The following is an 11,395-nucleotide window of genomic DNA, read 5'->3' as shown; positions in this document are numbered from 1 at the left end:
ATGTGGCCAGATGTGCATTTTTAAGTGTGTAATGAGCCCGGTGCCCATAGTGGCTCAAGCAGGGAGTCAGGGCTGGGGGAAGGGCCACAGCAGGACAAGGCTGTCCCCATGCAGGACAGCCTGTCCAACTGCAGAGATGCAGGGAGGAGGTGGCTTGGGTTGGGGCACAGGGACTTCCCAGCTCTAATTGGGAAGCCACCATTTCCGCCATCCCCAGGACACCGCGCACTGATGTCAGGCGAGCCGGCATGAGGCCCACTGCTGAGGGCCCCTCTGTCCTGATGCTGGCACCCTTCAGGGTGTCATGGCAGGACAAATAGGCAGGGCTATATGCGACCTGGCTGCAGCCTCACTGCCCGCACCTGCCTGAGCCTAATGGACTCTTGTTGGACATCTGGGGCTGCTGGAGTCCAGAGTCCCCTCGCAGTGCCACTCCCCCAGCCCTCTACACCCCCACCCTGCCCATCCATTTCCCTGCGGCCACGGCTGCCACGCCACCTCCTGGTATTGAGCAGTGATATGAGAAGGTGTGAAGGATACGGGGGCACCAGGGACAGGCTGGCAGGCAAGATGGATGAGGGGGCAGGGGGCCAGCAGGCGCCTCGGGCAGGCAGGGCGGGCGGGCCAGCCGGGGAGGGGTGTGCAGGGAGGCCTGCCTGTGTCTGTGCGCGTGCTGTGTGGTAAGTCCATGTGCACAGAAGCTGTACGTGTGTGCGCCATGTGGCGAGTCAGCAGGCTCTGAGTTCATCCGTGTGTCTGCGTGCATGTGGGTTAGCATGTCAGTGTGCTCGTGTGTGTGTGTGGGAGGGGGGTTGTTTCCCATCACACAGATCAAAATCGCACACACACACGTATCAGGGGCCACTACAATCCCAGCCTGGCCCTCCCCTGGGTGTCTCGGTGAAGGGGAGCCACCAGTACTGGAATGGATCCCCCAACTCCCTCCATCATCTCCCCACTTCCCACCCACCATGCCATGGCCAGGGCAGATGACTACACCTTGTTGTATAGCCTCAAGGGGCTGCTGGGACCCTCCAACTCACACAGAGCACTCCCATCTTGCCTGGCAGCAACTCCAAAGTGCTGGCAGCCTTTTCTCACACAGCCGGGCATGGGGTTGGGCCAGGGGCCGGCCCTCCTCCTTTTACATCCCCCAGAGCCAGCCCACCGTCTTTGTGTGGGGTCCCATCCAGCTCTGCAGGCTGAGATGTGAGACACAAGGGATTGAGCCACAGGCATCCCTGAGCTGCAGCTGCGCCCAGAACATAGCGCTCAGGGAGAAGCAGCCCTGCCGCCCCCCAGCCCCTCCATGCCCCCTCTTAGGAATCAAGGCCACTGCCAACCCAGCATCCCCAAGACAGGATTCTGGAGGAGGTATGGGGGGCTCCAGCCAGACGACCCACTCTGTGCCATTCAGCAAGAGTCAAAAGGCCAGCGAGCACTCTCAACCAAGGAACTGGCAGCCTCTCAGGGGGACCTCCAGGTTCTGCCTCCCTGCAGAGTGATCCATGTGTCCCCTGAATGCCCAGCACAGGCTGTAGACAACCTGGAGAGGGTGCCCGGTCAGGCCAGAGAGAACAGACAGACCCACAGGCAGAGCGGACGCCCACTTCTCACCTGGGCCAGCCTCACCGTTTCCACTCATGTCCAGATGGGGATTCCGTGGACACCATCAGCCAGGGCAGTGCCCCCAGTTCCAGGCGGGATGGGCTTACCGCTCTCCAGGCTGGGCTAGACCATCACAGGCGGAAGAGATTATGTGCTTAGGTTAACTGGGGAGGCTGAGGCACGGAGACTGTGGGACCTGCCAGCGTTGCGCAGCTCCCTGAGTTCATCCATGTGTCTGTGCGTGTGGGTTCACGTGCCACAGGACCTGGGCTTCCCGCCATCCAGTCTGGGGCTCTATGCTGACTGCACTCGTTGCTGCTGCCCCCTTGCGTTTCCTGCTCACACTGCTCCTGACAATTGCGCATCTGCCGGCCGGCTGGGGCCAGCCTCAGGTCAGGGGTCTGGGTCTTGGTGGGAGGGCACCTCCTCCGCCATTCAGCCCGCAATCTGCTGCTCCCACTGTGCCTCCCAACCCCCGGGGCCCCAGCCCCTCCAGTCAGCCAGGCCTGGACCCCTGCAGATGCCCAGCCGTCCTCAAGAACCACTCTCCCACCCCCTCACCCCTGCCACGCCTGGGCCCATCGATCAGGAATGGCTGGGGGGCTCTTAGCTGGGGAAGGGAGGAACTTGAAGAGGGAGGACAAGGAGGGAGGAAGGGGGGCTCTGCAACGTCAGAACCTTCCCACCTGCCCTCCTCCCGCACAGCCTTGGACAGCACAGCCCGAGAGTGGCTTGGAGAAGGGCCGCTGCACGCCCCAGAGCCTGCATCTCACCTTCGGAGACCAGGGGTCCAGCTCGAGTAGGAAGACCACGACCTCAGGACGTGGACGAAGGGCGATCGAGGAGGCAAGGACCGTCCTGCCGAGAGACTACAGCTTGTGTGAGCACCTGAGGGCTGAGCTGAGGTGCCGAGTGGACGAGTGGTGACCACCCCTTCCAGCAGGCAGGTTCCCAGCCCCAGCCAAGCAGTGTTTCTCCAGGAGCCGGACAGCCTCTCTGTCTCCATGGCAGGTAGGCTACGTTCTGAAGCAGAGGTGGCCTCATGGGTCAGGCTCAGGTTCCAGGGTGGGTGGGCAGGGTGGGAACCAAGACAGCCCCGCTGAACCCAGGTCCTTCACAAGAGGGTGGGGCAGGGGCACCCCAGGCTAAGGTCTGAGATCCCAACGGGACAGGGCTCACGGCTGCCCAAGTGCAATTATGGGAGATGCCAGGGACCAGGCTGTTCCGGGAGATGAGCGCCTCACTGGGCACGTGTGACCTCGGGCCTCTCCCTGAGCCCCAGCTCCTTGAGCATCAAAGTTGGGGCTGGACAAGAAGCCCTTAGCTTCCCTTCCAGACTTGACACTCGATGCTTCTGGCAAGCTGTCATCTCTGGGCCCTGAGGAATGCTGGCTTCTAGAGGGACTGAGCAAAGGACAGGCTCCCCCCACCAGAGTCCCTGAAAGTGTTGAGGGGCAGCACATTGGCTGCGACGGGCAGCGGGTGAGCCCCTAGAGGACTTGGGAGCCAGTGACCACCGGCAAAGCCTCCAGGCCCAGTGAAATCATGAGCCCCCCCACCTTGGGACCCATTGCCATGGACCCAGGGGGGCTGGCATCACCTGGATGACGTACCCGCCCCAGCAGGGCAGCCGGGCGACAACCAGCTACCCTTCTGATGGACTGGCCACAGGGGCAGGGGGACATCAGCCCATCTATCCATCCTGCCCAGGGTCCTCAAACCTGATGTGACCCATCCCTGTCACAAAGACGCCCCCTCCCCCGCGAGGCTGCAGAAATCCCAGGGCCTTTGCACGCAGCTCTCAGGGCTGCTGAGGACGTGGCCATGGCCCTGGGCTCCACATTCTCCCCAGGCACCTACTAAGAGCTCACCCTGGCCAGGTGCCGTCCACCTGGTACCTCAGCAGATGCTATGCCACCTGGGGGCCTCCGTCACCCGCCTGTCTGCCAGTTCATCCATCTCTCCAACACCCAGCACCCCCCTCTGCTCCAGGCATCCCATAGTCTTACAGTCGTGTAAATATCCCAAAGCCACTCGGGTGGGGACACAGCTGGGAATAAAACCTTGTCCCCTGACTCCCAGCCACTGTGGCTTCCATGGCCCTTCCAGCTTCTCAGCCCCTTATGGGGCTGCTATAAAATAATAGTTCTGTTTCTCAGGATTTTTTTCCATTTAAAACATTTTAATTGTAAAATATACATAACACAATTTACCATCTTAACCTTTTTATTTATTTATATTTATTTATTTATTTATTTATTTATTTTTTGAGACAGAGTCTCACTCTGTCACCCAGGCTGGAGTGCAGTGGTGTGAACATGTCTCACTGCAACCTCCACCCCCTTGGGTTCAAGCGACACTTGTGTCTCAGCCTCCCGAATAGCTGGGATTACAGGTGCCCGCCAGCACTTCTGGCTAATTTTTGTATTTTTAGTAGAGATAGGGTTTGCCGTGATGGCCAGGCTGGTCTCAAACTCCTGACCTCAAGTGACCTACCCGCCTCGGCCTCCCAAAGTGCTGGGATTACAGGCATGAGCCACCGCGCCCGGCCCACCTTAACCATTTTTAAATACACAGTTTTGTGTCATTAATTACATTCACATTGTAAAAAGTAAAGTAGAGGTTCCTCTTCATAGACTTTCCTGCCATCTAATTAGAATAAATAATAACTTCTCTTAGAAGCAAAATTTATTCAAAGACCTGTACTAACATTCTTAAATATCTGCTAACAATAATAAAAAAAAATCAATATATTTTATGTTCTTAGCTCCCACAATTTAGCCTAAATATTTGCCCTAGCATGCTTATATTGGTCCAAGCAAACATTAGGTCATAGCCTGTTCCTCTTCCTTATTTGAAGGTGTTTTTACCTTTCTCAGCATTCTATAAGTTACTTCCTCCTTCCTTTGTTCTCCTCTGCCTTTGCCAGTTTTAAAAGTTCTAAGTTACTAGCCAATCAGGACAAATACAGAATGTGAGGTCCCGTTCCGGCCAATGGGAACCAGACACAGCAGTAGGGTGGACACGTCAGGTTATAAATGACCCTGTCTCCTTTGTTCGGTGTACTCTCATGGCAAAGCTGCTGGCGAGTGTACCCTTTCTGCAAAAAGTAAAAAAAAATGGCCTTGCTGAGGAAATTAAATTTATGTTCAAGTGCTATTTCTTTACGGCACCGGAAAACAAGCATTTCTAACAACACTGTTGTGCAACCATCATTAGCATCCATCTCTAGAACATTTTGCATCTTGCAGAACTGATATTCTGTCCTTATGAAACAACAACTCTCCATCTCCTCCTCCCCAGCCCCTGGCAACCACCATTCTACTTTCTGTTTCTATGATTTGGCCTCACCACGTACGGCCTATGAGTAGAATCATATGGTATTTGTCCTTTGGTGTCTGGCTCATTTCGTGTAACAGCATCTTCAGGACTCATCCATGTTGCAGCATGTGTCAGAATGTTCTTCCCTGTTAAGGCTGGATACTATTACCTTGCACGGATGGACCCCATTTTGTTCATCCATTCATTTTCCAATGGACACTGGGTTGCTTCCACTTCTCAGCTATTGTGAATAATGCTCATAAGAACATGGGTGTGCAAATATCTGTTTGAGTTCCTTCTTTCAATTCTTTCTGGTATAGACCCAGAAGTGGAATTGCTGGATCATATGGTAATTCTAGGCTGGGCATGATGGCTCACGCCTGTAACCCCAGCACTTTGGGAGGCTGAGGTGGGCAAATCACCTGAGGTCAGGAGTTCGAGACAAGCCTAGACAACATGGTGAAATCCCGTCTCTAATAAAAATACAAAAATTAGCCAGGCATGATGATGCACGCCTGTAATCCCAGCTACTCGGGAGGCTGAGGCAGGAGAATCTTTTGAACCAGGGAGGCAGAGGTTGCAGTGAGCCGAGATCCATCCGGCCTGGGTGACAGAGCAAGACTCTGGAAAAAAATAAATAAATAAATAAATAAATAATATATACATATATAGTAATTCTAGTTTTAATTTTTTGAGGAGCTACCATGCTGTTTCCCCAGCAGCTGCACCTTTTACATTCCCACCAGCAGTGCACAAGAGTTCCAATTTCTTGAGGCCAGGCATAGTGGCTCACACCTGTAATCCCAACACTTTAGGAGGCCGAGGTGGGAGGATCACTTGAGCTCAGGAATTCAAGACCAGCCTGGGCAACATAGGGAGATCCCATCTCTACAAAAAAAAAAAAAAAGTAGCCGTGTGTGGTGGTGTGCACCTATAGTCCCAGCTACTTGTAAGGCTGATATGGGAGGATCACTTGAGGCCAGGAGGTCGAGGCTGCAGTGAGCTATGACAGAGCTCCCGCTGCACTCCAGCCTGGGAAACAGAGTGAGACCCTGCCTCAAAAAAAAAAAAAAAAAAAAAAAGGAGTTCTAATTTTTCCATCTCCTTACCAACACTTTTTATTTTCTGGTTTCTTTTCTTTTCTAATAGCCATCTTAATGGGTATAAAATGGTATCTTATTTAGCTAAGATTTTTTTTAATTGGAGGGGTGAAGGGTGACAAAGCATTTGGCCAAGACTTGTGCCGGGATTGCAGATCAAAAGACAAGATGCTTAGAAAAGAGTGCAGAGACCAGAGAAAAAGACGGTAGGATGGGTTTCTGGAGGCAGGCTCTGGGCGGGTTGTCAAGGTCAGGGATGGGTAATTGGTGCTGAATGGGGGGCTCTTCTTGGCTCAGCTCTCCTTCAGCAGCACCGGGAGGCAGGGTCCCACAGAGCTGGGGAAGACCCCTGCCCCCTCCCCCGCCCCACACACATATCATCTAGAACAGGTGCTGTTTGTGAAGGGCCCCCTGTGCACCAGCCCCTGTGCATGGTCACTAATCCTCACATCGGCCTTGTGAGGCAGGTATTAAGAGCCCCTTCTGACAGATGTGGAAACTGAGGCTCCAGGAGGTGAAACAATTTGCTTGAGGCCACATAGACACAAGATGGCCCAAACATTCTCTGGGGAGCAAGACAGGCCCTGACACTACCGTCAAGGAGCTTGCTGGCAAAATAAACTTTAAGTGAGCATTTACCTCACAGAGTGATGCTGAGTGGGGGATCCTGTGAGAACACAGCCCTGGCAGTCAGGGAGGGCTTCCTGGAGGAAGAGGCATATAGGTGCAGCCTGAAGGATAAGAGCTGGCTGGGTGATGCGTGGGGCCCACACTTCCGTCCTCTCTCCACAGCCTTCCTATCTGCTGGCCTCGGCATACTTGCACCCTCAGAGACCTACCCCCTACCTACAACCAGCTCTGGCTGGGAGCCCCGGCTGGGGTCACCATTCCCATCAGGCCCTTGCACCAGCTCTACTGGGGCCCAAGCTGTGGCCGAGCCCACTGGGCAGGGCCCCAAGAACCCACGTGTGTCCAGAGTGACAGTTCAGCTGGAGATGAAGCCTCTGTGGGAGGAATTCAACCAGCTGGGCACTGAGATGATCGTCACCAAGGCAGGCAGGTGTGAGCAGCGGGGGCGGGGTGAGGCAGGGGCCAGGGTTGGAGCCGCATCCGGCTGCTGAGCACCTCCCTCCCGCAGGAGGATGTTCCCCCCCTTCCAGGTGAAGATCCTGGGCATGGACTCCCTGGCCGACTACGCCCTGCTCATGGACTTCATCCCCCTGGACGACAAGAGATACAGGTGCGGGGACCGGCCTGGGGCAAAGGCTCAGGTCTCAGGTGCTGAGACCAGGAATTAGACCCTTCCTGCACCCCAAGGTGAGGCAGGGGCCTGTCCAAACAATGCCAGGGAGGTCCAGCCTAAGGGCAGGACGACAGACACGCAACAACAGCCTGAGGGCAGGAGGCAGCCCAGCTCAGGGTACCCAGCAGACTTCCATGGGTAGTGGGCTAGCCTTGGGCAGGCAGAGAGGTCTAGCCCAGGGCAGCAGGGGTTATCCTGTCATCCACCAGCCAGGTGCAGCCACAGGGAACTCAGGTCTCAACAGGATTCTCTTGAGCCTTGGGTTCCTTAGCAAGGTGCCCACCAGGTGGGGTGAGCAGTGTTGGAGTCGGCAGCAGCCCCTTCACCCCGCCTGTATTGTTCAGGCGTGACTCTGGTTGGGGAAGCCCTCACCACCTCGCTGTGCTCCCCAGGTATGCCTTCCACAGCTCGGCCTGGCTGGTGGCGGGCAAGGCAGACCCAGCCACACCTGGCCGCGTGCACTTCCACCCCGACTCGCCAGCCAAGGGTGCCCAGTGGATGCGCCAGATTGTGTCCTTTGACAAGCTCAAGCTGACCAACAACCTGCTGGATGACAATGGCCACGTGAGGCCGGGGCCACGGTGGGGACGGAAGGGCCTGGGGTCAGGGCTGGTAGGGACTTTGGTGTCCAATGGCCTTGGTGCCCAGCACCTCTGCCTGCTGCTGATGGTCAAGGCAGGGCGGGGAGCCGGGGTGGCGAGCTCACCTGGCTGGGGGTGGCACAGCAGGAAGGGCTGTCCAGGCAGGTGGAAAAGGGGGTGGGGGCGGGGGAATGTTCCAGCATACGTTGTCCCCCGCAAGGAGAGGGAGGACAAGGTATGGAACGCCCAGCCTAGGCCGGGCCCGCTTTATGTGTGGACACAGCATCATTAACACTTGGTCAAACAGCCAACGATCCCTGCCCTCACAGAGGTCACTTCCTGGGGCAAAGGCAGGGTCCAGAAGACACTGTCCCCAGCGTCTCAGATAGGGACAAATGCCAAAGAGGAAGCAGAGGTACGGAAGGGGGGCGGAGAAAGGGTGCTGCTGCTCTCAGGGGGCGCAGGGAGCTGAAGACCTGAAGGAGGTGGAGGATGCAGCGGCCCATGCCCGTCAGAGGGGACAGTAGGTGCAAAGGCCCTGAGGCCAGAGAATCCTGGGCCGGCAGAATTGCAAGACGCATCCATGGGGCCGGAGTGGAGCCAGGAGGGGAAGCCAAGGAGGCGAATGCCTGAGGGGTCGGGCTGACTTCGGGGGGCTCTGGCTTTTACCGTGTGGGGTGGAAGTCGCTGGACGGTTAGGAGCAGGGGGCATATGATGTGGCTTCCCGGGCAGCTGTGTGGAGAAGGAACAGAGGGGTAAGGCGGGGACAGGGGACAGGCCAGGAGGCAACCGAGGAAACTGGTGAACGCGACAGTGACGGGCCAGCACACAGGCAGTGGGTGGCAGCTGGGATGTGGGGTGTGAGAGGACATGGAGGCAAGGATCCATGATCCAAAGGGGCCTTTGACACGGAACTGCAGCCTCTCCAGCTCAGACCCTGTGCTGCCATGAAAGGAACAGGGTGGCAGGCCCAGGGCAGTCTCCCGGCTTGGAGGGAAGGACTCCAGCCTCAGGGAGTCCGCTGTACTCCGCCTCACCCCTGTACCCCTGCTCTGTCCCTTCCACAGATCATTCTCAACTCTATGCACCGCTACCAGCCCCGTTTCCACGTGGTCTTCGTGGACCCACGCAAGGACAGTGAGCGCTATGCCCAGGAGAACTTCAAGTCCTTCATCTTCACAGAGACCCAGTTCACAGCAGTGACAGCCTATCAGAACCACAGGGTGGGTGAACCAGCTCGGGAGCACCCGCTGCAGGCCCATTTCACAGGGGTGGAGACTGAGCCCTGAGGCTTGCAGCCCTCACTGGCACAGACTACTGCCCTCCCAACTTGCCCTGAGTATCTGCCATCAGTCAAGGCCCTGCCCGCACTCCTATCAGCTCAGAGTTCCTGGGCCAAGAGGCCCAGGTGCCAGGGCCTCCTGACTGCCGGTTCCCGGGAGGACAAGGTGGCTGAGCCTGGCTCATGGCCAGCCCACAACTGCACTTTGTCTCCTGCAGATCACCCAGCTGAAAATCGCCAGCAACCCTTTTGCCAAAGGCTTTAGAGAGAGTGACCTGGACTCCTGGTACTGTCTGACCCTGACCCTAGCCCCTCACCCCCACCCCAGGCATATCCTAAGGCCTCAGTTCCTGACCCTTGTTTCAGGGTCACACCCTCTGACCCATCCTGGGGCCCCACCATCTGAAGCTGGCCATGATCCCTGGCCTGGGTTCTTCCCCTTGATCCCCTCCCCCCATTCTCGCTTGCTCTTTCAGGCCTGTGGCCCCACGGCCCCTGCTCAGTGTCCCAGCCCGGAGTCACAGCAGCCTCAGTCCCTGTGTGCTGAAGGGTGCCACAGACAGGGAGAAAGGTAAGGCCCCAGGCCTGCAGACATAGTGGGACTAAGGTGTACACAGTGGGCGGAAGGCAAAGGGACAGGACCTCCAGGAAGGGGCTTCAGCAGCTCAGCGAACCCACAGGGCCCCTGTGTGGACACACGGAGGGGGAAGCAGACATGCCTAAGACAATATGGGGCTCAGGGCAAAGAGCACAGGCAGGGGGTGCCAGGCAGGCTTCCTGCAGGAGGTGGCTCTCAAGCTGGGCCTTGGAGGACTGGGAAGGGTTTGGACAGAGGGAGAAGGTGAAGAAGAAATTCCAGGCAGAGGGAAAAGCAAAGGCGAAGGCTGAGAGGTAGGTAACTTGGGAAGGAGGAGCAGGAAGGGACCAGGGCAGGCCTGGGATGAGGGATGAGGATGCGATGGGAGGCCCAGAGTCCACTCATTTCCTCCCTCAGACCCCAACAAAGCTTCAGCTTCCACCTCCAAGACCCCTGCTTGGCTCCATCATCAGCTGCTGCCCCCACCTGAGGTCCTGCTGGCCCCGGCCACCTACAGGCCTGTCACGTATCAGAGCCTGTACTCTGGAGCCCCGAGCCACCTAGGGATCCCAAGGACCCGACCAGCACCATACCCCCTCCCCAACATCCGGGCTGATAGGGATCAAGGAGGCCTGCCTCTCCCAGCTGGGCTGGGGCTCCTGTCCCCCACTGTGGTGTGCCTGGGGCCTGGCCAGGACTCCCAGTGATGCCAGAAGCCCTGGGGGGAAGCCCTGCTACCCTGGACCTTACACCGGGTGTGGGAATCAGCCTCTGCCCCGCCCCCTCCAGCCCCATCTCTGTCTCAAGGAGAGCAGGGTAGGTGAAAGTCTAGAGAAAGAGGCTACCTGCCCAGGGTCACAGCAAGGCTGGGACCATGGCAAGCTTGGAACCAGGACTTCTATCTCCCAACCCCAGCAGCCTGAATACTGTGCCCTCTTGCTTTGGGGGTAACTCCCGAAAACCCTGCCTTACCTCTCCCTTCCCCCTAACATTAAACTATTTGGCATGAGTGGTCAGAGCACTTCTGTCGTCGTGGTCAGGGTGGGTGGGGGCCTCAGGAACTCCCAGACCCATCATAGTCCCCACATCAGCCCTGTAGGCATCCCGAAGCTCTGCCCAGTGCCGTCCGCATCCCTGGGAGCACACAGTAATATTAAAAGTGGTGACTCCAGCCCAGTGGCAGGGCTGCACTTGCCCAGATGAGGATCGAAACTGGCGCTCAGAGAGGCGCGGGACCTGCTCAACGTCACACAGCAGAGCATGGCGGACACCCGCCACCCCACGTTTAAATGCTGTGCGCAAGGCTGGGGTCATCTGGTCCCCAAGCCCAGGGTCTGGTGGAAGGGCGCAGAACCACGGTGGTCAGTGACCACAGGGGCCGAGGTAGGAAAGGGGGAGGGATTTGGGAATCCGGTCAAGACTCAAGGCAGGAAGGGAGAAGAGCTCTGGACGCTGGGACAAGGAGGTCAAAGGCCTGGGGCTGGAGTCCGACGGAGCCAGAGGGGAAGACAAGACTGGGGGCGGCGCGCGCCACCCAGCGGTATCGGGAGGGAGGACCGGAGGGAGGGCTGGGCCGGACGCTCCTCTCGCGCACCGATCGACCTCGGGTTCCTGGAGGGGCG

General features: G+C 57.5%; 1 protein-coding gene across 2 annotated transcripts, besides 6 other annotated features; it reads left to right on the top strand.

Annotated features, from left to right (window-relative positions):
* The first annotated feature begins 330 nt into the window (after positions 1-330).
* On the top strand, positions 331-10,782 carry TBX10 (T-box transcription factor 10). Of its 2 annotated transcripts, XM_047426879.1 has the most exons (11): positions 331-680; positions 1,324-1,483; positions 2,314-2,488; positions 2,945-3,090; positions 6,773-7,089; positions 7,168-7,269; positions 7,725-7,896; positions 8,982-9,137; positions 9,415-9,482; positions 9,673-9,767; positions 10,191-10,782. In XM_047426879.1, the coding sequence occupies exons 1-11, from the start codon at positions 331-333 to the stop codon at positions 10,478-10,480; spliced, it is 2,031 nt and encodes a 676-aa protein (XP_047282835.1). In that variant the 3' UTR covers positions 10,481-10,782. The 2 variants fall into 2 exon arrangements, with proteins under 2 accessions (XP_047282835.1, NP_005986.2); NM_005995.5 differs by lacking the exons at positions 331-680; positions 1,324-1,483; positions 2,945-3,090 and having other exon boundaries at positions 2,322-2,619; positions 6,822-7,089.
* Positions 6,591-7,149: an enhancer, noted in NCBI's record as "H3K4me1 hESC enhancer chr11:67402407-67402965 (GRCh37/hg19 assembly coordinates)". NCBI's record gives its function as "activates a minimal SCP1, AML or CMV promoter by ChIP-STARR-seq in primed H9 embryonic stem cells {active_cell/tissue: H9 hESC(primed)}" and the evidence as "EXISTENCE:reporter gene assay evidence [ECO:0000049][PMID:30033119]".
* Positions 7,150-7,708: an enhancer, noted in NCBI's record as "H3K4me1 hESC enhancer chr11:67401848-67402406 (GRCh37/hg19 assembly coordinates)". NCBI's record gives its function as "activates a minimal SCP1, AML or CMV promoter by ChIP-STARR-seq in primed H9 embryonic stem cells {active_cell/tissue: H9 hESC(primed)}" and the evidence as "EXISTENCE:reporter gene assay evidence [ECO:0000049][PMID:30033119]".
* Positions 8,004-8,531: an enhancer, noted in NCBI's record as "H3K4me1 hESC enhancer chr11:67401025-67401552 (GRCh37/hg19 assembly coordinates)". NCBI's record gives its function as "activates a minimal SCP1, AML or CMV promoter by ChIP-STARR-seq in naive and primed H9 embryonic stem cells {active_cell/tissue: H9 hESC(naive and primed)}" and the evidence as "EXISTENCE:reporter gene assay evidence [ECO:0000049][PMID:30033119]".
* Positions 8,532-9,061: an enhancer, noted in NCBI's record as "H3K4me1 hESC enhancer chr11:67400495-67401024 (GRCh37/hg19 assembly coordinates)". NCBI's record gives its function as "activates a minimal SCP1, AML or CMV promoter by ChIP-STARR-seq in naive H9 embryonic stem cells {active_cell/tissue: H9 hESC(naive)}" and the evidence as "EXISTENCE:reporter gene assay evidence [ECO:0000049][PMID:30033119]".
* Positions 9,590-10,119: an enhancer, noted in NCBI's record as "H3K4me1 hESC enhancer chr11:67399437-67399966 (GRCh37/hg19 assembly coordinates)". NCBI's record gives its function as "activates a minimal SCP1, AML or CMV promoter by ChIP-STARR-seq in naive H9 embryonic stem cells {active_cell/tissue: H9 hESC(naive)}" and the evidence as "EXISTENCE:reporter gene assay evidence [ECO:0000049][PMID:30033119]".
* Positions 11,226-11,395: a silencer, noted in NCBI's record as "silent region_3649". NCBI's record gives its function as "represses an Ori minimal core promoter by ATAC-STARR-seq in GM12878 lymphoblastoid cells {active_cell/tissue: GM12878}" and the evidence as "EXISTENCE:reporter gene assay evidence [ECO:0000049][PMID:35858748]".

Source organism: Homo sapiens, chromosome 11 (assembly GCF_000001405.40).
Source record: "Homo sapiens chromosome 11, GRCh38.p14 Primary Assembly".
In the NCBI taxonomy this organism is placed as follows: domain Eukaryota; kingdom Metazoa; phylum Chordata; class Mammalia; order Primates; family Hominidae; genus Homo; species Homo sapiens.
The sequence above is the reverse complement of the archived record's forward strand: the minus strand, read 5'-3'. Positions and strand labels throughout refer to the sequence as shown.

What these genes read in the sequence shown, in the direction of transcription:
- TBX10 (XM_047426879.1), top strand. Translation starts at nt 331, where the DNA reads ATGCGACCTGGCTGCAGCCTCACTGCCCGCACCTGCCTGAGCCTAATG. An exon ending in TGCTGGATGACAATGGCCAC is followed by an intron (nt 7,897 to 8,981) that starts GTGAGGCCGGGG and finishes TCCCTTCCACAG; the next exon opens with ATCATTCTCAACTCTATGCA. An exon ending in TGCCACAGACAGGGAGAAAG is followed by an intron (nt 9,768 to 10,190) that starts GTAAGGCCCCAG and finishes TTCCTCCCTCAG; the next exon opens with ACCCCAACAAAGCTTCAGCT.